Source organism: Homo sapiens, chromosome 5 (genome assembly GCF_000001405.40).
Source record: "Homo sapiens chromosome 5, GRCh38.p14 Primary Assembly".
NCBI lineage: Eukaryota > Metazoa > Chordata > Mammalia > Primates > Hominidae > Homo > Homo sapiens.
Window position 1 is genome coordinate 66751758 of NC_000005.10, and position 23351 is coordinate 66775108.

Genomic DNA, 23351 nt, shown 5'->3' on the forward strand with positions numbered 1-23351 from the left:
GGCAGGCCAACGTTCAGATTCAGGAAATACAGAGAACGCCACAAAGATACTCCTCGAGAAGAGCAACTCCAAGACACATAATTGTCAGATTCACCAAAGTTGAAATGAAGGAAAAAATGTTAAGGGCAGCCAGAGAGAAAGGTCGGGTTACCCTCAAAGGGAAGCCCATCAGACTAACAGCGGATCTCTGGGCAGAAACCCTACAAGCCAGAAGAGAGTGGGGGCCAATATTCAACATTCTTAAAGAAAAGAATTTTCAACCCAGAATTTCATATCCAGCCAAACTAAGCTTCGTAAGTGAAGGAGAAATAAAATCCTTTACAGACAAGCAAATGCTGAGAAATTTTGTCACCACTAGGCCTGCCCTAAAAGAGCTCCTGAAGGAAACACTAAACATGGAAAGGAACAACCGGTACCAGCTGCTGCAAAATCATGGCAAAATGTAAAGACCGTCAAGACTAGAAAGAAACTGCATCAACTAATGAGCAAAATAACCAGCTAACATCATAATGACAGGATCAAATTCACACATAACAATATTAACTTTAAATGTCAATGGACTAAATGCTCCAATTAAAAGACACAGACTGGCAAATTGGATAAAGAGTCCAGACCCATCAGTGGGCTGTATTCAGGAAACCCATCTCATGTGCAGAGACACACATAGGCTCAAAATAAAAGGATGGAGGAAGATCTACCAAGCAAATGGAAAACAAAAAAAGGCAGGGGTTGCAATCCTAGTCTCTGATAAAACAGACTTTAAACCAACAAAGATCAAAAGAGACAAAGAAGGCCATTACATAATGGTAAAGGGATCAATTCAACAAGAAGAGCTAACTATCCTAAATATATATGCACCCAATACAGGAGCATCCAGATTCATAAAGCAAGTCCTGAGTGACCTACAAAGAGACTTAGACTCCCACACATTAATAATGGGAGACTTTAACACCCCACTGTCAACATTAGACAGATCAACAAGACAGAAAGTCAACAAGGATACCCAGGAATTGAACTCAGCTCTGCACCAAGCGGACCTAATAGACATCTACAGAACTCTCCACCCCAAATCAACAGAATATACATTTTTTTCAGCACCACACCACACCCACACCTATTCCAAAATTGACCACATAGTTGGAAGTAAAGCTCTCCTCAGCAAATGTAAAAGAACAGAAATTATAACAAACTATCTCTCAGACCACAGTGCAATCAAACTAGAACTCAGGATTAAGAATCTCACTCAAAACTGCTCAACTACATGGAAACTGAACAACCTGCTCCTGAATGACTACTGGGTACATAACGAAATGAAGGCAGAAATAAAGATGTTCTTTGAAACCAACGAGAACAAAGACACAACATACCAGAATCTCTGGGACGCATTCAAAGCAGTGTGTAGAGGGAAACTTATAGCACTAAATGCCCAAAAGAGAAAGCAGGAAAGATCCAAAATTGACACCCTAATATCACAATTAAGAGAACTAGAAAAGCAAGAGCAAACACATTCAAAAGCTAGCAGAAGGCAAGAAATAACTAAAATCGAGCAGAACTGAAGGAAATAGAGACACAAAAAACCCTTCAAAAAATTAATGAATCCAGGAGCTGGTTTTTTGAAAGGATCAACAAAATTGATAGACCGCTAGCAAGACTAATAAAGAAAAAAAGAGAGAAGAATCAAATAGACGCAATAAAAAATGATAAAGGGGATATCACCACCGATCCCACAGAAATACAAACTACCATCAGAGAATACTACAAACACCTCGACGCAAATAAACTAGAAAATCTAGAAGAAATGGATAAATTCCTCAATGCATACACCCTCCTAAGACTAAACCAGGAAGAAGTTGAATCTCTGAATAGACCAATAACAGGCTCTGAAATTGTGGCAATAATCAATAGCTTACCAACCAAACAGAGTCCAGGACCAGATGGATTCACAGCCGAATTCTACCAGAGGTACAAGGAGGAACTGGTACCATTCCTTCTGAAACTATTCCAATCAATAGAAAAAGAGGGAATCCTCCCTAACTCATTTGATGAGGCCAGCATCATCCTGATACCAAAGCCAGGCAGAGACACAACCAAAAAAGAGAATTTTAGACCAATATCCCTGATGAACACTGACGCAAAAATCCTGAATAAAATACTGGCAAACCGAATCCAGCAGCACATCAAAAAGCTTATCCACCATGATCAAGTGGGCTTCATCCCTGGGATGCAAGGCTGGTTCAATATATGCAAATCAATAAATGTAATCCATCACATAAACAGAACCAAAGACAAAAACCACATGATTATATCAATAGATGCAGAAAAGGCCTTTGACAAAATTCAACAACCCCTCATGCTAAAAACGCTCAATAAATTAGGTACTGATGGGACGTATCTCAAAATAATAAGAGCTATCTATGACAAACCCACAGCCAATATCATACTGAATGGGCAAAAACTGGAAGAGGAGTGGAGTAGGAAAAGATTGGATTGATTTGGACAAATATATATGCTAGCAGGGATACAGTTAAAAAGTTCAATGGTTATTTAGGAATTACCTTTGGAGTTAGCTGTGTTCAAAAATTAGCATATTAGTTTGGTATATGGAACAGATTCTTTCAAATGATGTGGTTTGCCATAACCTAAGGGTCTTTTCCACACATGAAGTGTTCAGTTTTTCAAAATACTAGAGACTCACTTTAGTTTCCAGTATGTCACCTTGAATAACAATTAATATAATTTTATTCTATTTTTTCAATAATTAAAGCCCTTTATGGCATGTGTTTTCTATTTTTTTCCTGTTATATTTTAAAGTACATATCAGAGATTTGCAATTGATTTGCTCTTTCCACCAATATTTACAGGTGCTTTTTATGTAGTTTGCAGTGTTCTAGGGATACAGCAGTGGACAAAACAATATAGTGCATAATTTCATGTAACTTTAATTTTAGCAGGGGGAGAAGAGCAAGAAACAAGTACCAAAGATCTCATATGTCATGTGGTGATAGATGCTCTGAAGAAAAATAAGAACAAGGAATAAAGGTTGAGCGTGCTGTTTTACATAGGCATTTACAGAGGGCATCCCAGGAAGAGTGACATTTGAATAGAGACCCAGAGGACAGAGGGGGCACAATAGCTAATATCTGGAATGTGTCGCAGGTAGAGGAAATGATAAATGTAAGGTCCTGGGTGGGAAGAGCCTGGGGCATCCAAGGTCTGGCAAGAGACCAAGGTGGATCGAGTGGAGTGGCAGGAGCTGGGACTAGAGAGAAGGACTCCAGCTGTGGAATTGGAGCATCTGGCTTCATTTTAGAAGGGTCACTGCTGTGGTTCTGAGAGGATGGAAGCACAGAGACCTCTTGAGATGCTATTGCAAGAGAGAAAGGGGATGGCAGGGACAAGGGTGGTAGGCATAGAAATGGTGAAGTGATCTTGGGTGTATTTTGGAAGTTGAGCCTGGAGGATTTACTAGTTGGATATGGAGTGTGAAAGAGAAGTTAAGAACAACTGAAAGATTTTGTGACCTGAGTAGCTAGAGAAAACAGAATTGCCATTTACTGAAATTGGAAAAAGCTTTCTCTTTCTGCTTATATGACCACTGTTAATATTTAAAAACTATGAATTACAGAACCCATGTGCTTGGGAATAGAAGTGTCTGAAAATGAGGTCGGAGAAAATTGTCAGTTAAGAGGCTGAAAGTTCTGTTTGTGGACAGTTCTAATATGCCTTTTTATAGACAGATGGGTGGTATTACTAGGGCATATAGCCGTAGATAAAGAAATCTGTGGTGCTTATTTGCAGATGGTCGTGATGGTGATGGCGGAGACATTAACAAAAATTAGATCGAGGCTTGTAAATGATGTGCCTTCATTTTTACTTTTTAAAATTTATTCTTTTAATTGAAAAATAAAAATTCTACATATGTATATGCATCATAATGTCTTAAAATATGTATGTGTTGTGGAATGGCTAAATCAAGCTAATTAACATATGTATTACCTCACATGCTTATTTTTGGGGAGTGAGAACACTTAAATCTACTCTGTGATTTTCAAGAATACAGTACATTGCTATTAAATGTTAACTATGTGCTTTTAATTCATCTTCATTGATATGGCCAAGCCACAATGTCATCGTGGAGGATCTGTTTTTTTCTCAGCCTGATAATTTGTAAAACAGCATATAATGGGTGGGGGCAGTAAATACAGAAAATCTAGGTATAGAATTCTGGTGATTGGCATTTCTATAGAACTGACAGTTTTGGAAACTTTCTTTCAATTCTGCCTCACACTTCCCTTGGTTATATACCTTTTATCCCTTAAGATGCTAACATGTTTCCTGTGATAAACTGCTAGCAAGAGCGGGTGTACATCCCTCACTTGTAGGTGGTGTCCTGTGCCCCTGTCTGACTTCTGCATTCAATAATATTAAAGGAATCCTTCCAAATTTTCTATGGCTCTTGTTGGAGGTGGTAAGAACTAACGTAGGAAATTTTAAGCAAATCCAGTCACACAAATCAGTATTTACTATTGGTGCATGAGGTAAGGACATATTGCTGTTTCAATGCAAGATACTTTGTGGCCAGCAGCATGTAGGTGACCACGGAGTAGGACCTGGCCCTCTAGGAGTACACAGCCTGCTTAGGGAGAGGAACCACAAGTATTTGAAGCAGGGGTATCATGCCCAGGCTTAGATGCCCTTGAACATCAGTGAAAGTTTCAAGACAGCCTCTGTCTTTAGTTCAACTCCTTGTAGTATGAAGACTTTGGGAGTCTGGAAAAGTTGGAAAACATTAAAATGGAATCATTTAAAGGACGAAGTCCAAAGTGACATGTTTGATGTCTACCATAAGCTCTAGGGTGTGATGAAGTGTCTTAAAAGGGATCATGAGTATTTGACTCAGGACAAAAAATGAAAAATAAATTGCAGGGCTGCAGTGGACCGTTTTGAGAAGCTTTGACTAATTGTAGAAAGAATAGTAAAGCCACTGACAACAGAGCAAATTTGGAAAAATGATCTATTTAGAGAGAGCCTGTTGGGAGTGTGATCGGATGTGAAGAGGAAATGGGATCTTGGAGCACTGCACTATGCTTATAGGTTTTCTGCTCATACTGTGCCTGAAACATTGGCAGCCCTCACAGTTCACTGCCTCAGTTTTCCCAGATTTAAAATAATACTCCCTTCTTGTGATTTTGATTAAAAACCTTGGCTTGTGGACTAACAGCTCATGTCTATATATGTGCGATATGTGATGAATTAGGTTTTTTTTCTGTTTTCTCCTTGATTTCCTTCTCTTTCTTCCACATTTGTTTCATGTCTTTTATGGCTTTCCTATTTAGGAATTATCTTCTTTCCTCTGCTTGTTTTTCTACCCGCTGTTAATTTGTGATACAGCAGTCTTCCCCAGAGTAATTAATTGTAATTCTACAAGCTGAAAAAATTTAACATCAGGTGAAAAATAAGTAGCAGATGCTGATGAACCTTAAATGAGAAATATTTGTATTTTATGCAGCTGTCACTCATAATTAAGAGAAAATAAGTAAGTAGAATGGACCCTAACTTGTTTGATTGCTTCACAGGGTAGGCATCCATTCTTAGTGCATTTACTAGGACTATTAAATAGTAGCTGTTATGGAACATTTTGTTCAATGTCTATGGCACATTGCCACCTTGTGGCTGCAGATTTGTCTTGTGATGTAAAAGTAAATTTTTTAATGTTAAGTCTACCTGATATAATCTTATGTTACATTTTTCCTGGTATTTATACGTTACCTTGCTCACAAAAGATTTGAGACACCTTATAAGACTACATAGAATATAGGATAAGAGAACTTGAGAGAATATTCTTGTTCTTAGAACAGGCATGTTGAAGTATTGAAGTATTTGGAGGGGGGTGAAGAATCATACTGCCTGCAACCAACAGTCCCCGTGCATGTGTGAAGAGGAGAGAGAGCAAAAACGGTGTGACAAAAGGTTAACTCGCCACTGAGAATATGGGTGTTTACCGTTCCTGTAACTTTTCTGTAGTTGCAAATGTTTTTCTGAAAAGTTTCTAATTTAAAAATTGGCAGAAAAAATAATTGGGGTATGAGCACAAAATGGAGCCAAAAAGGAGGCAAAAATAACCTCTACATTCTTTAATGATCTGACTCTAGATGAACTCAGTGATTTGGTTCTGCATTTTCTAGAGGCTATATGGAAACTTCTCCTTGGAGGCCCTCCTAAATAGGACACTGATGTAATAAACAGCAGCCCTCGACAAATACCTTGTGATAAGTTCAGCTCTGCATTTGAAAGGGTGTGTTTTTTTTTTTTCCTTTTTCCCAAGTGCACTCTGGAGTCCCTTTTTCCTACTGATCTGGCTTTGATCTTGGAGTGGATGGGCTGCTAGTTCTTCAAGGGCCTCTCACTAAAATACTGACCGGCAATGAGTGTGAGATGGTACTTACAGAGAAGTGCTTGAAATCCAGGTGTTAGGTCTTACTAATGAATACAGTTATGCTTAGGGGAATCTTTTAGCAGCTAAGCCGATGAGGTCTGTTCTATCTCAACTAACTTGGGAAGGGTTGCTCATAAACAGGATCAAATTTCCTTTTGTGTAATAGTTTTATAGAACTATTATTATTAAATAAATAGAAATAAATATTTCTATTTATTTAATTATTTTTTATTTATTTTTTGAGATGGGGTCTTGCTCTGTTGCTCATGCTGGAGTGCAGTGCTGCAGTCATGGCTCACTGTAGACTTGACCTCCTGGACTCAAGAGAGTCTCCTGCCTTGGCTTCCCAAAATGCTAGGATTACTGATGTGAGCCACTGCGCTCCGCCTGTGCAATGACTTTGAATATGATGCAGTGCATGGACAGACAAAATGGATGACCTAGTCTCCAGATTTCTATTTCTTATAAATACATCCATGATAATCTTCACCTGAAAAAATTTGACAAGTATAACCAGGTGATCACCTCTTTTCCCCATGAAAACAAAACAAATCTCAGTGAAGCGGCTCTTAAAATGCCCGGCTTTGAATAATGTTACTTGACTCTTCTGTTTTTAAATTTCTACAGAGTTAACCTTTTTATGTACTTTTTTGAGGGATCTTTAATAACTAACTGGAAGTATGTAGGTGTATATGAAAATTTTTGTCCTTTGCAGCTGTCTTAGACACATATTCATATGTACTTACTTGAAGGTGAACATTTTAGATGGTATGGCTCTATTAAGTATGAGAGGCTTTCTTACAAAAACAGGCAGATCTTGAAATAAGTGTTGTGACACAAGGGATTCTTTTGTAGAATGCTGTCTCTTGAAGTGACTTTGGTTTCTCTGATTCTTGTGACAGGTTTTCTTTTAAAAAGCTATAAAGTGACGTAGGGATGTATTGATTTCCATTAAGGGCTAGGGTACTTAGAAATTTCTCTCCTGTACAACATATATTTGTGAGCAATATGTGAATTTTCTTTTGTAACCCACTAAAGAGAGTGATCTATTGCTTCTCTACAGAGCGACAATCTTCAATTTTGGGGGAGACCATGTACAGAAAGACATGTTTTATATAGTGACCTAGGATACACACACATACACGTATAACTGAATAAAACATTTCATGAAACAATCCTTTCCCTTTCTTCATTGGACTGTGATAATTTCTGTTCTATTGCATTAAAAAACACCAGTCACAATCTACCAAACTTGATTTCATGACCCACTAATGTGCTGTGACCCACAGTTTGAAAATCACTGCTGTCGAGATTTTGCAGCAAGCCAGACTCTCTTTCGGAAGGAAGATGTGACAGTGAAATTCTAAATTCTCTAACGTAGCAAAATTGAACACAGTGTTGGGAGAATGGAGTTTGAGAAGGAAAAGAAAGGAAGAAAAAGTGTGAATGATTGGTCTTTCATTCTAGGCTGTGTTGATGCCCTAGCCAGTGATGCCATTCTTCCTCTTTCTGCAGCTTGACCACATATTATCCCCTCCACCCATGCCGTTTCGGAAATGCAGCAACCCAGATGTGGCTTCTGGCCCTGGAAAATCACTGAAGTATAAAAGACAGCTGAGTGAGGATGGAAGACAGCTAAGGCGAGGGAGCCTGGGAGGAGCCCTGACTGGTGAGTCGCAGCGGCTTGGATGAGAGAAGGAATTGCATTTCTTTACAAGGTCCTGCATGGCCCCAGAGTTCCACATGTAATCAGCTTTCTTAAGAATGGGCCTGCCTCTGCAGACCATTTCATAAAAATCTTATCTAATCCAGAAAGCAGTTAAATTGAAAATTTTATTAATAAACTTTGCTGAAATATAATTTACATGCAGTGACAATATCCCCTATTTATTTATTTATTTATTTATTTATTTATTTATTTATTTATTTATTTTTTGAGACAGAGTCTCGCTCCGTTGCTAGGCTGGAGTGCAGTGGTGTGGCATGATCTCGGCTCACTGCAACCTCCGCCTCCCAGGTTCAAGCGATTCTCCTGCCTCAGCCTCCTGAGTAGCTGGGATTACAGGCACACACCACCACGCCCAGCTAATTTTTGTATTTTTATTGGAGACGGGGTTTCACCGTGTTGGCCAAGATGGTCGTGATCTCTTGACCTCGTGATCTGCCTGCCGTGGCCTCCCAAAGTGCTGGGATTACAGGTGTGAGCCACCGCACCCGGCCAATATCCCCAATTTTAAGTTTATGTTTGGATGGATTTTTGCAAATTTATACCTCAGTTTAACTACTGCCGTGATCAGGATATAAAATGTTTCCCATGCTCTTCCTAGTCAAACCCACCCTCTACTTCCACCCTCAACTCCAAATCCTTGGCCCTAGGCAGCCATAGATCTGCTCTGTTATTATAGATTAGATAGACCTTATCAAGGGGTTTACATTAATGGAAGCAGAGTATCTACTCCTTTGGTCTGGATTCTTTTGCTCAGTGTGATGTTTTTAAGATTCACCCATGTTGTTGCGTGTGTTAGTAGCGTATGTTTAACTTTATAAAATTAGGTTCTAGTGTTCTATACTACTGTAGGATAACTGTAATTAACAAATATATATAATTTCAAATAGCTAGAGGAATGATATTGAATGTTCCCAACACAAAGAAATGATAAATGTTTGAGATATGATGAATATGCTAACTACCCTGATCTGATCGCTATACATTATATGATTGGAACATCACTAGTACCTCATGAATATGTATAAATTATTCTTTGTTAATAAAAATAAAATTAGAAAAGAAACTGCTAAACGGTTTTCTAAAATTGTGCCATTTTACATTCCTGACAGGTATGGATGAACGATCCAATTGCTGTGCGTTCTTGCTAACCTGTGGTATTGCCAGTTTTAAAAATTTTAGCCATTTTCAGTGTTACATAGATGTATCACATTGTGGGTTTCATTTATGTTTCCTTGGTGACTAGATAATCTAGAACACCTTTTCAAGTGCTTATTGGACAATTATTTGTGTCTCGTGAAGTATTGGTTCAATTCTTTCACCCCTTTTTAAATTTCATTGTTAAAATTGAGAAATTTTCAAATCCAGAAAACTCACAAATTATTTTTGACTGCAAAATACCCAAATTAAGATAAGTTAAAGCCTAGCTTTTAAAAGGTAACTCACCACTTAAAATTGTATGTTATTAACTATATACCACTGAAAGCTGGATTTCTGTTATTTCATCAGAGTACTTTTTCCTCTAGATATAAATATTTTCACGGAACTTTGTTTCTTAAAATCCCCAAACAGAGTTTTCTTTCTACATGATGGTCTTGTCTACCAGTTTAAAAATGGCCTGGAAAGTAAGTTGAATTACTCATTTTTTTTTTTTTTGGAGAACTATGGATTTTGACGTTTTGAAGATGAAATTTCTGGGAACAGAAGTGCTACTGCCACATGATTAGTGGAGTCTGGGACATCTGACCCTGTGTGCCACTCTGCTGGAACAAAAGGCCAAACTACCTCAGGCCAAGGGGGAGAAATTCATCAAAAAAACTGCTGCAGTTTAAGGCAAATCTTTTCCCTTGAGTTTACTGATGCTCTTCTAATGCTTGTTAGGATATTTTTCTTTGCTTTCATTTCATAAATGCAGACTATTTGCTTTTTAAAGTAGGAGATCCCAAAGATTATTCTCTTGTAGGTAAGAAAATTAAATCTTAAAGGTTAAAAGACTCATCCTTTTATTTATTAATTTCACTTAGGAAATTTACTTACCTTGATTCAACTATTTTTGATAGATAGGAGGGGCAGTAATTATTCTATCCATTTTTGCTAAAGCAGTTTACATAAAGCTTTAAAATAATGCAAGGGTATGGCTGTTGATCAGATATATGATCTCAAACATGAAATTTGGCCTTTAGCTTTGAAAATAAATAGCCGGACTTGATTCTCTTGTCATAATTTTAACAGCTCTAGCAAGTCAATCCTTAGACAATTAGTTCGCTACACAATTACTTTTGGTAACTAAGTCTTTGGTCAGATAATTTTTTTAAATGTTTAATAGTCCTTAGAAGAGCTAAAAAAAAAATCCATCGAACGTCAGCCTGTTTTTGAAGACAGTTCCTTGAAAATTATATTAGAATATGAAAAAAACATTTTTAATTGTTCCTCTGTATGGTTTAGCTGAAGATTTAATGAAATAATATACACAAAGCAGCTAGCCCAGGCAGCTGTTAGTATTATGTGCATAACTAATTGAATTTGGGGGGATTTGGAGTTGATGGGTGGCATGGGCTCATGGAAATGAGTTTGGTACCCTTATCGACTGGCTTGCTACTTGGTGTTAGGCACTGTGTTCATGTCAGGCTAGTGTCAGATGTTGGAGCACAGAGAAGACAGCATCTTCCCTGATCTTTAAAAAATGTGTTTTCCACTAGTTTTAGGTAACCAAATAATCACATGTGATCTCATCTTGGGACATACCCTGTTGCTAAACTTAAAATAAGTCTTACTGGTTTTTCCATCAGAGGCCCATGCCTGATCTAATCTGTTACTTAACAACTGACCACCTTCTCATTGTTTTACTTTGTTTTAATCCAAGGATCTTTTCTTTGGCAGCATTCTGCTTTCCTTAAAACAAAGATTTTTAGTTTATGGTTGGACAGTTTTGCCAACCAATTATCCTTGATAAGGTTCACTAAACTTTTAGCTTTTTGAAAGGAAGATCTGTGATCAATTTATATATTTATCCCTTATAATGATAGCTAATATTAAAAGCTTACTGTGTAGCAGGCATTGTGTTTAGGGAATTATATTTACTGGCTTATTTAATCCTTATAACATCTGTGTGTGTCTATGAGGGAGACACTGTTAGCTCATTTTACACATGAGAACACTGAGGCACAAGCAGGTTGAGTAACTTCCTTGAGGTCACAGTCCTCACAACAGAAGGCGAGGATTTGAACCCAGGCATCATGGCTCCAGAGTTCATGCTCACAACTGCTACACTGTTCCTAGCATAGTCAGTACCTAGTAGGTTTTAAATAAACTCTTAATTCCAGCAGTATTAACTGGAGTGAATCTTAGGTGGGAAAATTGTTCACTCAGTTAAAATTTGTGGTTGGCTCAATCTGTAGGGCTCCCAGTCGTTTAATTGTAAAAATAAAGTAAAACTAGGCAATTAGTACATATTTAAAACCTTAAAATTCACACATTGGTCGACCCAGAAATTTGACTTCTCAGAATTCATCACAAGGAAACAGTCATATGTCAAGAGAATTAACCTTAGTTATATATAAAGCAGTACCATTTATAATAATTAAAATTTCATATTATCTAAATAGCTGGCAAATGAATACTGCTTAAACATATTATGGTACGCACATAAAATGGAAAACAATTGTAAACATTAAAGGTCATATTATAAAAAATATGTTTTAATATTGAAAGAGACTCACAATATATTAATGTGAAATCCCATTGTTAAATGGTCTCATAGTGTCTCATACTACCTAAGACTTACTGTATTTGTAATTAAATAATTGTATACAGACGGTCCCCCACTTACTATGGTTTGGCTTTTGACTTTTCAACTTTATGATGAGTTTAGTGGGGTATGAAATGCATTATTGACTTAAGATATTTTTTACTTCTGATGGGTTTATCTGGATGTAACCCCACTGTAAGATGAGGAGCATCTGTCTTTACTGAGGAGGAGGAAAACAATTACTTTCTGCTAAGGAATTTTCTCAAATTGGAGTGATGGTTGAGTAGGCTTCCTTTAAAAATGGGCAAGTGAAGGATGCTATGGCCTTTTTTGTACACTGCAGCTTAATCCACGAGATAGTTTTTGAACCCGAGTTTTTCTGTGGCATTTGGTGGTGTATCAGTCAGCAACAGTAATGTTGCATAACTGCAAACATCTCAATGGTAGACAACAAGAAGTATTTTTTTCTTGTTCAGATGGCTATAGGTTAGTTGGGGTTTGGCTGTAGGTCACTCTGGGCCCTACTGGGCTTGGTTCCAGGTTGCAGTTTGGGTCCAGATTTGTTCTATGTGTCTACCTTCTTCTTTAGACCAGCAGCTACCAAAGGCATCATCTCCTTATGAAAGACAGGAGCATGAGAGGGCAAGTTCTCCTGTACAGGCACATTTCAAGGTTCTGCTGGTGTCATATCTGCTAATTTTATATTGGCTAATGCAAACGGCATGGTGAAGCCCAGAGACAAGGGGTAGAAGCACACTTCACTTGATACCTTGTCCAGGATGCAGGTACAGTCATGTGCCACATAAAGTCATTTTGGTCAGTGATGGGCCATATATATGACAGTGGTCCCATAAGATTATAATGGAACTGAAAAGCTCCTATTATATGGTAATGTCTAGATGATCCTGACTCTGCATAGGCCTAGGCTAATGTGTTTGTGTCTTAGTTTTTAAACAAAAAAGTTTAAAAAGTAAAAGAAAAAAATAGAAAAAAAAGCTTATAGAATAAGGATATAAAGAAGAAAATGTTTTTGTACAGCTCTGCAATGTGTTTGTATTTTAAGCTAAGTGTTATTACAAAAGTCAGAAAGTTTAAAATTAAGAAGTTTATAAAGTAAAAGTTACAGTAGGATAAGGTTAACTTATTAAAGAAAGAAAAATATCTTTTAAATCAGTGTAGCCTAAGTGTACATTGTTTCTAAAGTCTACGGTGATGTCCTAGGTCTTCACATTCACTCACTACTCACTGACTCCCTGGTAGCAACTTCTATTCCTGCAGACTCTATTCATGGCAAGTATCCTATACAGGTGTACCACTTTTTATCTTTTATATTTTAAGGTAGCTTTTCTATGTTTAGATATGCACATACTGATCATTGTGTTGCAGTTGCCTACAGTATTAGGTGCAGTTGCATGCTATACACGTTTGTAGCCTAGGAGTAATAGGCTATATACCCTGTAGTTTGGTTGCACAGTAGGCTACACCATCTAAGTTTGCATAAGTACACCCTATGATGTTTGCACAATGACAGAATTGCCTAAGGAAGCATTTCTCAGAATGTATACTTTTTGCTAAGCAATGCATGACTGTATATACAGTTGTCCCTCAGTAGCCACAGATTCCAGGTTCCAGGATACCGAAGTTCATAGTTGCTCAAGTCACTGATATAAAATGGTGTAGTATTTGCATGTAACCTATGCATATCCTCCTGTAAGCTTTAAATCATCTCTGGGTGATTTATATCACCTAATACAATGTAAATATTAATATTCTATAAATAATTGCTGTACTGTATTTTAACATTTGTATCACTTTTATCGTATCAATATTTATGTTTTTTCCGAATATTTTTGATCCACAGTTCGTTGAATCTGGATGTGACAGCTGACTGTAATGTTACTTCAGGGGAGTAAAGAATTGGAACTGATAATTCAGTCTATCCTAGTTAGCTTCTTAAAAAAAATCTTTTACAATAAAATATTTTATTTAACTATTTTTAAGTTTCAAAGTAATATGTATTCAATGTAGACAATTTAGAAAATACAGAACAGTATAATGAAAAAGCCCAAAACCCCATAATTTCACTATGCATAGACACTCATGATTGAAATGTTTGCATTTTCCTCCCTAGCTAAACTTTTGAATCACTAAGGGCATTAGATTAAAGACGAGAAAATAACCAGTGCCCTTTTTGCAGGGCTGGCATTTAAACAATAGACCTGGAGCTCACTATGCACATTACTGCCTGGATTTTTATTTTAGAGGCTGATGTGTTTCCTGTCTTGAAGGTCCACAGCTTGCTAAATAAGCACCTAGAAGCCTCATGTAAACATTGACTGAGCTTTGGAGCCCCCTGATGAGGAAGTGCAGCATTATTCTAATCATTATAGAGACCCTTAAGTCTGGGTATTGTTGGTAATATGCCTCACAGCTCACAGTGAGGAAGCTGCAGAATGAAGGACAGAATCTTGGGATCTTGAATCCTGGCTTCTTGATATGCAAATGCATGCCCCAAATCCTTGTCCTGCATTCTACAGCTGTGATGTATGTTACAGCCGTAACAGCCAGAGAATGAGTGCTGCTTTTCTCCACGAAGAGAGTTGTGTTTTTTTTCCCCCCAAATGTTTGGGTTGGTTGGAATGTAAAAGAAAGACAAAAATCTATATATATGTGTATAACATGCACATAATAATAAGAAATCAGCTTTGCAGACAATATAAACTAGAATTTTAAAGCTGTTAGAATCATGACGTTCTATCTTGGGAAGAAAGTTGAGAGGGTTTTCTTTTTTGGACTATAGAAATCAATTTGGAATAACGTCTGAAAATTTTTAAAACGGCATTTTTTAGTGTTTTTTTTTTACTTAGAGAAAGGAACAACACAATCCCAGAAAACATTCTTTCATTTAAAATTAACCTGGAAGCTATTGCTTTTAATTACTCTGTAGTACCCAATGGGTTTCTCATCCTAAAGACCTCCTTAGCTTAGTGGGCAAGCCTGAAATAATTCAGATTAAAGATAATTTATATAAAGTATGGCTGTTTTATGGGTAGCTTTGGTATTTACTAAATATCACACTTAAATACAACTTAAACTTTCCTATACACTCCAGATTTCTTCAGTTTTGTAGCACCATCAAAAGAATGCCTGTATAAAAATGGTGTGTGTTAAGATAATGCTACATGCTATGACAAGCAAACCAGAAAATATCAATGGCTTAACACAATAGTAGTTTATTTCTTGCTCATGTAGTAATTCAAAGTAAATGTTTGGGTTCATAGGCAACTTTCCTCCCGTGGTGACTCAGGGACCCACATTCCATCTTCTGGTTTTGCTCTTCTTAATAGCCTTGAGGTACCGTTTCCAGTTGGCAGAAGTGGAAAGAGAGAGGAGAAACCCTTCTGACTTCTTAAAAGTCCCAGCCTGGAAGAGACATGCTAATTTCCGTTCCTATTCTTTTAGAAAGATCTAATCACATGGTCACAGATGAATGTAAAGTGCACGTGTGTGTGTGTGTGTGTGTGTGTGTGTGTGTGTGTGTGTGTGTGTGGTGCTAGGGAAATATGGTCCCTGCTGGCCTTGCCTCAGCATTCAGCTAGATAAGAGATGGGGGAGCAGGGCACTTACTAAGTCAGGAAAGACCAGGAGAGAAACAGATTTTAACAAAGACATAGGATGTGATGAATTCTGTTTTGAGTATGTTTGAAATGCCCGATAAGACATGATAAATAGGCATGTCAAGTAGGACTGTGGAATCACAGAAGGAGAGAAGCATCTTCAGAGGAGGAAATGATGGCAAACCATATATTGGCTGCATGTGAGAGAGTAAGATGAGGACAGGAAAGTCTCATTGGATGGGACAATGTAGTCACTGAGTAGTCTTGGACCTGGAGAGAGTTATTACGGTTTTCTAGAGGGACAGAACTAATAGGATATATATACACACACACACACATATATATAAAGGGGAGTTTATTAAGTATTAACTCACATGATCACCAGGTCCCACAATAGGCCATTTGCAAGCTGAGGAGTAAGGAGAGCCAGTCCGAGTCCCAAAAGTGGAGAACTTAGAGTCTGATGTTTGAGGGCTCCAGGGCAGGAAGCATCCAGCACGAGAGAAAGATGTAGGCTGGGAAGCTAGGCCAGTCTTGTCTTTTAATGTTTTTCTGCCTGCTTATATTCTAGCCATGCTAGCAGGTAATTAGATAGTATCCACCCAGATTAAGGGTGGGTCTGCCTTTCCCAGCCCACTGACTCAAATGTTAATCTCCTTTGACAACACCCTCACAGACACATCCAGCATCCACACTTTACATCCTTCAATCCAGTCAAGTTGACACTCAGTATTAATCATCACAAGTAGGGAAGTGCAGACAGAAGTGAGAGTGGGATGGGATAAGACAAAATAGTCATTAAGGAATCAGAGATGGCTTATATCTGGATAAATAGAAGTACAGATAACTCTTTTGAGAAGAAAATGTGCAATGAAAGGGACTAGAAATATAAAGTATGAGCTGGAAGGGTATGAAGGGTCAGTGAGATCCATCTTAATGCGGGAGTCAGGAGAACTTGTTTGTAAAGCACTGAAGATGGTTTGGGTGAGAGAGACAACAGCTGAAGAAGGTGTTTGGAGGAACAGGGCTGGGTATCCAAAGCAAATGTGAAAGGGTTGACCTTTTATAGGAGGAGGGGCACTTCCCACATTGTCACAGGAGGAAGGAGGAGAAAACAGATGCCAAAGCAGGTAGTTCAAGTGCACCTATACCATGGAATACTACTTGGCAGTAAAAAGGAACAACTGTTGATACATGCAGCAATCTGGATGAATGTCCAGAAAATTATGTTAAGTGAAAAAGTCAGTCCAAAGAGGTTATACTGTATAATTCCACTAATATATAACATTCTTACAATGATAAAATTATAGAACTGGAGGACTGATTCATGGTTGCCAGGGATTAAGGAGGGGATGAGGTAGGAGGGAAGTAGGTATGGCTATAAAAGGGCAACATGAGGGATCCTTGCGATGATGGAAATGTTCTTTATCTTGATAGTCTCAATGTCCATTCTTGGGTTGTGATATTGTACTAAGGTTTTTCAAGATGTTACCATTGGGGAAACTGGGTAAAGAGTTCTGTATTATTTCTTGTAACTGCATGTATATCTATAATTATATCAAAATGAGATAATTTTAAAAATTATATCAGTAATATTAATACATTTGCTTTAAAAAAAAGCAGAGAGTTATTGGATTTAATGGCTTCATTTTTCTCAGTGCATTGTGAGAGACCATGGGGGAAGGGGTTCAGTTGGGAGGGTTATATGGGAATTGAGAAGAGAAGGAGATATGACATAGTCTTGAAGAGTAAGAAGGGAAGCTATAAATGTAGTAGGATTTCTTGAAAGCATTGACAGCCCATTTAAAGTCTGAGATCATGAATTGAAAGTGAAGCCGGTCTACGTGTTTGTGCAAAAGGTTAAAGCACTAGGGAAATTCATGTACTGGGTATACTGGTTCCAGAAAACAGAGAGAGGCCTGGTCAAGGGTCATTCATAAGAGTGGTGAGGAGGGTGGACCTGAGCTGTACAGGAATGAGAGGCAGTTTTAGTGCCCATGGTGTGATATTTCTGGGGCTCGAGCCAAAGCCAGTGGGAATTTGGAAAGAGGACTAGAAGCTGGGACTTGGGTGCATGGTGGGGCTGGGGAGTGAGCAGCAGGTGGACTGAGTTTGACTTAACCAGCCCCTGAAGAATGACTGAAATGTTAATATAGTCATGCATCGCTTAATGACGGGGATACGTTTAGAGAATGTGATTTCCTAATGCAAACATCATAGAGTATACTTACACAAACCTACCTGGTTTAGCCTACTGTAACCTGTTGCTCCTGGGTCACGCATCTTTACAGCATGTTACTGTACTGCATACTGCAGGCAACTGTAACACAATGTATAACAAAATGTAACATAAGTATTTATGTATCTGACATACCTAACGTAGAAAAGGTCCAGTAAAAATACAATATTATCCTGTTACAGGACCGCCCTCCTATGTGTAGTCCATTGTTGACCAAGACATTATTATGCGGTACATGACTATGTTTTGAAATTTGGCACCATTTGAAATTTTTAAAGGGCAAAGATCTTTACAGTTCTCCTGATGGTGCTCTCTTGTGATACTCCCAATTTGGGTTCTTGGCTCTTCGCCAACCAGAAGAAAAAGCCCAGATCCACATAGAATTTACACTTAAGGTTTTACTGACTTAAAAACATCCTGCTGGTATTTGTTTTACTAGTTCTTAATAGGTATAAAATTGCTATGCTGAAGGCACATAACTAATGACAAGAATTCTCTTGAGTCGGTCTAGTGTGGTTTTAGAACTTAAAAAATTGTGTAGTTCATCAGTAATAGCTTATGAAGCTGAAGAATGTCTCTACATATTTTTCTGAGTCACCAGGCAATAAACAGGCAATTCTGTTAGCATCTTCTTCCCGGTGACAATGCATGGTTTTAAGAAGCGTTAAAACCATTTATTGTCTTTACTGCTCCTATGACAGTTTATAGCCTGGATATTTTGTTTGCTATCTAGGTGTTCTAAATAGAAGGTGTGACTACTTTGATGTATTTTTGTAAGTGTTGCAATTCCTCCTTGTCAGGAGTAGTAAGGTCTCATGAGACCTAGACTTAATGGGAGGCGCAGCTGTCAGTGAGTTCCTTTGGCAGATGCTGCCTCCCAGTGGCTCTCTGTCAGGGAGCCTTCTGCCGGAGCTCATCTCCCATGCAGGTGGTCTACCGATGAGTCATTGCCCCTCTAACAGGCTCATATGGTGGTTCCCAGACCCAGGTCACCTGCCACTTAGAAACTGCCAAGTGGCCACCACCTTGTTCAGAGCCACGCTGCAGCCTCTTGGAAGCCCAAATCTCTCCTTCAGGCCTTTTGCACCAGTGACAAGACAGGCATGAGGGGAAAATTAAGGAAAGAGGCTGAATGAGGACTTTAAGAATCAGAGTCATTTCTCTTATACCCGGGGCAGGTGAGAGACTGGGCTCTTTGCTTTGATGTGTACCTGAGCCCTGGATAGTGTTGGGAGCCAGGCTTCATTAGCAAATTGGCACTTCAGAAATCAGTTTTACAGTTCTGTACCTGATAGTTTGAAAAACTTAACACTTGGACCTGAGTGTTAGTTAATGTTTTCCACAGGAGGCCCAGTTTCTCTTAAGATGCTTGAAGCCCCCTTTGCAGAGCAAAAGGTAACATAGGCCTTCAATCACTGTTGACATAGAATTTCAAGATTACTGGGGCAGGAAAATACTCAGATACAGCTAAACCATTATCAGCTGCAAAATATGTTGGCTATCTGGACCTTTGGCTCGGTGTGTTAAATGTGGCAAACCAAACTCAGTAACTGGAATTCTTCAACATGCACCAGAGAGGAGGATGTCTGGTAGTCATTTAAAGTTTTTTCTGGCATGATTTTAAAAGTTGTATGTGTGTAAATATATTTCTTTCTTTTCTTTCTTTTTTTTTTTTATTTGAGACGGAGTCTCACTCTGTCGCCCAGGCTGGAGTGCAGTGGTGCAATCTTGGCTCACTGCACGCTCCACCTCCCAGGTTCACACCATTCTCCTGCCTCAGCCTCCTGCGTAGCTGGGACTGCAGGCACCCGCCGCCACACCCGGCTAATTTTTTTTGTATTTTTGGTAGACACAGGGTTTCACTGTGTTAGCCAGGATGGTCTTGATCTCCTGACCTCGTGATCCTCCCGCCTCAGCCTCCCAAAGTGCTGGGATTACAGGCATAAGCCACTGTGCCTGGCCTGTGTGTAAATATATTTCTATCGGGAGGCTCTGTATGCCAATTAGGCTAATGAAGAAACTTAAACCAAAAATGTATAGAGTAACAGGATCCGTGAACAGAAGGCTTCCTCCCCCCACTCCCCTGCTCATTTCTTAGGTTCTAGCGTGATTCTACAAATAATGGGCTTTGGTCCTTCCCGAGGAAACAAGATTAATTATTGAATCCATATATTAAAAATCTAAGTTGCTTTGTTCTTAAAATTCCCTTTAGAATAAGAAACTGGTTTCGGGCTTTTTTTTTTTTTAACCTGTTATCAAGGTGTTGAGCTTTTTGGATGAGGCGTAATCATATTCCTTTTTCTTTCTACTGCTTTTTAGTTTTGTCTTTTTAGTACTTCCCTGAAACTCTCTTTTCCTCTGACAGGATAGACTGTGGCCCAGGCACAAGTAGGTATGGCTTTCCTATCCTTCATGCATTGTGCTCTTTTAGGTTCTGAAAAGCACACTGATCCATGCTCATCTTCTCAGTTCCTTATATGTGTAGCCCCTCAGAGATGAAGTGGCTTTAGCTCCTCTGTGAGTCTTTAGTAGAGATGAGGAAGCCACAAACAATGACTTGATTATACTACAATTAACAGCGTGAAAGATTTATTGAAATGCTAGAAAATTAGTATGAACTAGGAAATCTCACACTTCATGTCCTTGAGGTACTGGGGAGGAGGAGATAAGGTAGGGAAAGGTAAGAAGATGGTGGGTGGTACCATTTCACACAACACTGGAACCCATTTACAGAGTTGGACATAGGTAACTGGCTCTTCTGATGATGTTTCAGTTTCTATTTTATACTTTTCTTTTTCCCTTTCTTCATGTTTCAATTTATGTTTTTTTAAGATTTTACCCTCTTATAGGAAACATGGGGAAAGGCTATGTGGCTTGACATACGCTACTGGGTTCCAAAGTATAAAAGGCCAGTGACATCTTATTTCATACAGTCAAACTGCAGTGCTAATGAGGTGCTAACTGCTCGTGTACTGGAATTGGTAAATTGCACTATACATGAATCCCCTGGACAACAGAGGCAGAGAGTAACAGGGTACAATACAGTAGGGAGTGGGGAGATGTAGATCAGAGAGAGAATGGGATCACTGAATTAAATGGAACAGAATTTAAAGAAAGCAAGTGACTTGCCTGGGTGGAGACAGCATCTTGCCATCTTTTACTGCTGTTTTAGGGTGTAAATGGAAGGACGTGAACTGGAGATCTGAGGCCCAGATTCTAGTCCCAAGTCAACTTCTAAGTAGCCTTCATTGCTGGGCCTTAGATTCTTCATCTGTAAAGTGAGTGCATTGGATCCTATACTCTCAAGGTCCCTTTGAGTTGAGTAGTAAATAATTTTAGCTACCATGGTGAGGGAGGGAAAGTCTTTGTAGAAAATGGGTTTTCTTCATTTTCTAGTCACTGCACCCTCCCTTGAACCCCTGTGCACACACACATGCTTTATTTGTTGCTCTGCAAGGAAGCCCACCTTTGCCTCTATCAGAGCTGCTGGTAGGTGTCCTGTCACTCGAGCATACCCAGGCCATTCATCTCTTGCTTACAGCTCATTTTTGGTGGCCAATCAAAGCCACTGGGAATGTAGAAGTTTTTTTAACTTCCCAGTTGGAAACTGAAAATGATGCTGACTCTAAGTCAGTTCCACAGGAAAAAGAGTAGGTCAAGAAATGCAACCAACCGGGAAGTTGAAAGATTTATAAAAATTAGTGTTTCTGATATATTAATGACTTTGGTGGCAGTAGCCTGCATTTGTCATTGTCATGTTCCATTGTCATTCAAGTACTTAATCACCACACATTGTCAGGGCTAAATTTATTTTCTTGTGTCTGCCTAGCAAGATAATTTCTCTATTCTTTGACAGTATTGTCTCAGGCACCTGAATCAGACCTAAGCCTGAAGGGAGAGCAGAGGGTAAGTCCCCTCCTTGCATTTAACTCATTGCTGACTTGTGAAAGAGAGAATGATATTATTGAAATGTCTGTTTCCTTCTTTGAGTAAGAATAGAGGGGGAATCATGTCATGGTTTGTGTCCTCTCTAAAATTCGGGTGTTGCCAGTTTGATAGTATTTAGAAGTAGGGCCTTTAAGAGATGATTAGGCTATCCTAGGGCTGCTCCCTCATGAATGGGACTAAGACCCTCTTAAAAGAGGTTTCTTTTACACAGCAGCTTTTGGTGAGCTTGCCATTCATTCTCCTTCTGCCATGCAAGGATGCAACAAGAAGGCCCTCACCAGACTCACATGCCAGTACCTTGATCTTGAACTTCCAGCCTCCACAGCTGTGAGAAATAAATTTCTGTTCTTTATAAATTACCCAGTCTCCATTATTATGTTGTAGCGGCACAAACTAAGATAAACTGTGACTGCTGTAAATTATTAATGCTGCACCCAATTCAGCTTTAAGAAGGATTTTGCATAAGGTTGTGCAGCTCCCAGCTTCCCAGTCTGTGTTAAGAAGAGGCATGTATTAAGTGACATACATGGACATTTATGTGTTTACATGTATGCATGCACACACTGCATTGCACCCTTGGTTTTTATTTAGTTCCAGTAATGTAGGATGGCCTGTATTTTTGCCCTTAATTACTCTGAAGGACAGTTAACAATTATGTATGTCATTGACCTTTTATTAAAACTTCTGAAACAAGTTTATCTGTGCTCAGATCAAGGAAAAAGGGTTTAGATTGGTCTGATAAATTTGAATTATTCTTTTGTTAAATAATGAGAGCTGGGTAAACCCACTGTTTCTGTCTTGGTCTTGGTTGCCAGGAATCTCAAAGTATTTTATTTTGGTTTTGCTCCATTTTGCTAGCTTTTGGCTGCAGTGGCGTATACGTAAATAACAGTAAACAAAGGGGGGAATAATACATCATGCACATACCTGTGGTTATGAGTGCTGTGATGCCCCTGCCCTCTTAGGTGTATAAACTGATCATGAAGCATGTAATCTTTAAGGCCTTTTTCTACATTCAGATTCCATTCCAAACACCTTCATGTTACTTTTGCTGACTCTTCCACCTCTCTCTCCTTTGATACCACCTTAATGTTGTTCTTTTCTTAAAAGAGAGATTACTTTTAATTTTTATTATTTGTGTACCTATCATTCCATTTGCTAGTTTATAAATTTCTTGAGGACTTTTTCCTTGTATCCTCAAAGCAAAGCCTTGTGCATTTCTCATTCTAATATGATTGCCAGATAAAATATGGGGTATCCAATTAAATTTTAATTCAGATAAGCAACTAATAATATTTTTAGTATCCAGTGCTATATTAGCATACATATTCAAGTTTACTTGAATTTAAATGTAGGTATGCATCCTGTATTTTTATTTGCTAAATCTGGCCATCTTATCAATAAATACTGGAATGGTTATGTGCCTAGGCGTTATCAGACATATAGTCTCATAGGTACAGGCATGGTATGAATGGCAAGTGTTTAGAGGCATTACACATAGACATTCGTTCAATATCCTTTTCCTGTGTGTGTGTGTGTGTGTGTGTGTGTGTGTGTGTGTGTGTATGTGTGTGTTTTCCCCCTGTAGCTGCTTAGTCACATGGGAGTCAGACAGCTCTGATATATGATATACTGTA

The 23351-nt window shown here is 38.6% G+C and overlaps 1 protein-coding gene across 10 annotated transcripts in view; it reads left to right on the forward strand.

Annotated features, from left to right (window-relative positions):
• Nucleotides 1-23351, forward strand: part of MAST4 (microtubule associated serine/threonine kinase family member 4) — a 573201-nt gene that overhangs the window by 155365 nt on the left and 394485 nt on the right. For 9 of the 10 annotated variants that reach the window (XM_047417157.1, XM_047417158.1, NM_001393524.1 and 6 more), the window contains exon 2: nucleotides 7952-8105. In XM_047417157.1, coding sequence (XP_047273113.1) covers nucleotides 7952-8105 — 154 coding nt within the window. Of the gene's footprint in view, nucleotides 1-7951; nucleotides 8106-9274; nucleotides 9299-23351 lie in introns of all 10 variants that reach the window. The other variant, XM_024446044.2, reaches the window with a different exon arrangement.